We start from the raw sequence: 2,253 nt of genomic DNA, 5'->3' as shown, positions 1-2,253 counted from the left end.
AATCCTGGTGTAGTTTTTTAAAAGGCCCAAACACATAGTTAATTCATATTAATATCATTCTTTGCCAACAAATATTTTTTGACAACCTCTATGTGCCTGTCAGATAGAAAGGTTCATTAATTGACTTGGAGATTGGGCGATGTGGAACTCTGATTAAGAACTTTTGTATCTACCCATTCATGGGAAGTCTGAGAAAATGAACTGGAAGCCAGTGGCTTCCACGGAAAGCCGCCCTGGTAGATGGCTATCAGCAGCTCAGTGCCCTCTCTTTGCCAAGCCACCAGTGGGCATTGTCCCAGTGATGGTTCCCTGCTAATGAGGGTGCTCAAGATTGTTTTGTGGATAATACTTTCTGACAGTTGTCAATTGTCAGGGAAGTTTAAATAGCTGGAGAACTTTCTGTGTAGGCCAACTTATATGTCAGAGGCAGGGTTGTAAATGGCACTTCAAGGCACCTAAACATGTCAATGAAATGGAATTGGAAATGATACTTGAAAACCTTGGCTGGCTTTATGTTCTGATAGCATTTTTGCCTTAATGTTCTTCTTTGGACAGTGTGTTGGCTAGCTGTAATTCTAACCCTCTACTTTCACTGAATCATATGATTATATTGTCTTTAGTTACATATATAACTTGGCCAAAACAAAAATATTTACATAAATAACTAAAATTGCTCTGTGAAAATAGGAAACTCAACATTTACAAAACCCAACTAGGTGTATACTACTAGTGGGTATACAGTTGGCTTGTCAAGAATATCAATTGAGTGTACAGTGCCTGTATTTAATGAAAGAAGAAACATGGGGTCTTGCAAAATAACGTTGATGTGAGGAGGGTCCTATAAACATGTATGATGACTTTTTCAAAGGTGATAAGTGTTATTACAATAAGACAAAGGCCATGTAAGTCTAGGAAGCTTTCATGGAAAATGTGAGTTTTGAATAAGGTTTTGAATGTTTTGAAGGTATAGGTCTCAGCAGCAAGATTGTTTTTTGGGAAACACAGATAGGGAGAATGCCTTAGGCAATATGCTCTCATGTTATACTCTTTCTATATCCCTAGGCTACATTAAGACTTCAAATATTTCTTGTGTTAAATATTCCCATATTTGCATATACAGTCTAGTACATCCAATTCCCTACTGGCTTGACTTCTCCAGAAGATTCCTCAACTCAACCTATTTAACACAGAATTCATTAATATACTCCCCTCTGCTCCTCTCTTTCACTCTGCTTCTCTCAGTGAGGGGCATTACATCCATCTGTTTGCTCAAGGAAGGAATTTATGAATCATTTTTAATAACCCTACACCCTCACTCCTACTTCGCATCAGTAGGTGAGACCTATTGATTTTACTGCAGAAATACTTCTGTTAACTATCTGCCCTTCACCCTCACAGCCATGTTCCTACTCAAGCCACCTGCAAGAACACCCAAATTCTTCTTCTGTAATCACTTTTGTCCTTTCCAGTTCATTTTTTACACTTTACATAGAATGATTTTTGACAAATCCAAGTCTGATTATTGTATTCCTCTGCTTAAAACTCTTCAATGTATTTTCATTGTTAGTAGGTTAATATCCAAATTTTCAATATCCCAATTTTTAATACCCATGGCTTACAAGAGCTCTACACTATGGTCTCACCTACCCCTTCACCCTCATCTAGTGCCATGAAACTTCTCGCTCTCTCTGTCTTAACTACTATTGTCACAAATGAGTCATCATTTTTCTCATCTTTGATCTATTGCAAATACTCTTCCCTTTACTTGGAGGAACAATTGGTAGTATCCATTTATTTGAAAATAAATATATTCTTATGGACCATTATAAGCATGATGAAGGAAAAGTGCAGGGTGCAATAAGGGAATCTTACTAGAATGAAGGCTGGAGGGAGCTGCTGAGTAGGTATTACCCAGTGTGGGGTAGAGAACATTCCAGGAAAAGTGACTAAATATTCAAAGGCTATGAGGTAGAAAGAGCATGTCAAGTAAGCAAATATGAAAGGAAAAAAAAAAAAGATAGTGAATTAGAGGGTGAGTGGCATGAGTTGAGTCTGGAGAAGTAGGTGAGGCCAGACAAGGAAGGGTCTCTTGATCATGCTGAAGATTTTGTGAATGAGGACATAGCAGTTGTTCCTGTGACATCAGCAGAATCTGGAAAGAGAGACGTTTATTTGCATGCTTCCACTATTAATGCTGGCCAGTGTGGTTAATTGTAGGAACAAAGAGGACACATGGACCCCAAATTAGGAAAG

This window comes from Homo sapiens, chromosome 5 (assembly GCF_000001405.40).
Source record: "Homo sapiens chromosome 5, GRCh38.p14 Primary Assembly".
Classification (NCBI taxonomy): domain Eukaryota; kingdom Metazoa; phylum Chordata; class Mammalia; order Primates; family Hominidae; genus Homo; species Homo sapiens.
This window is presented reverse-complemented; position numbering follows the sequence as displayed.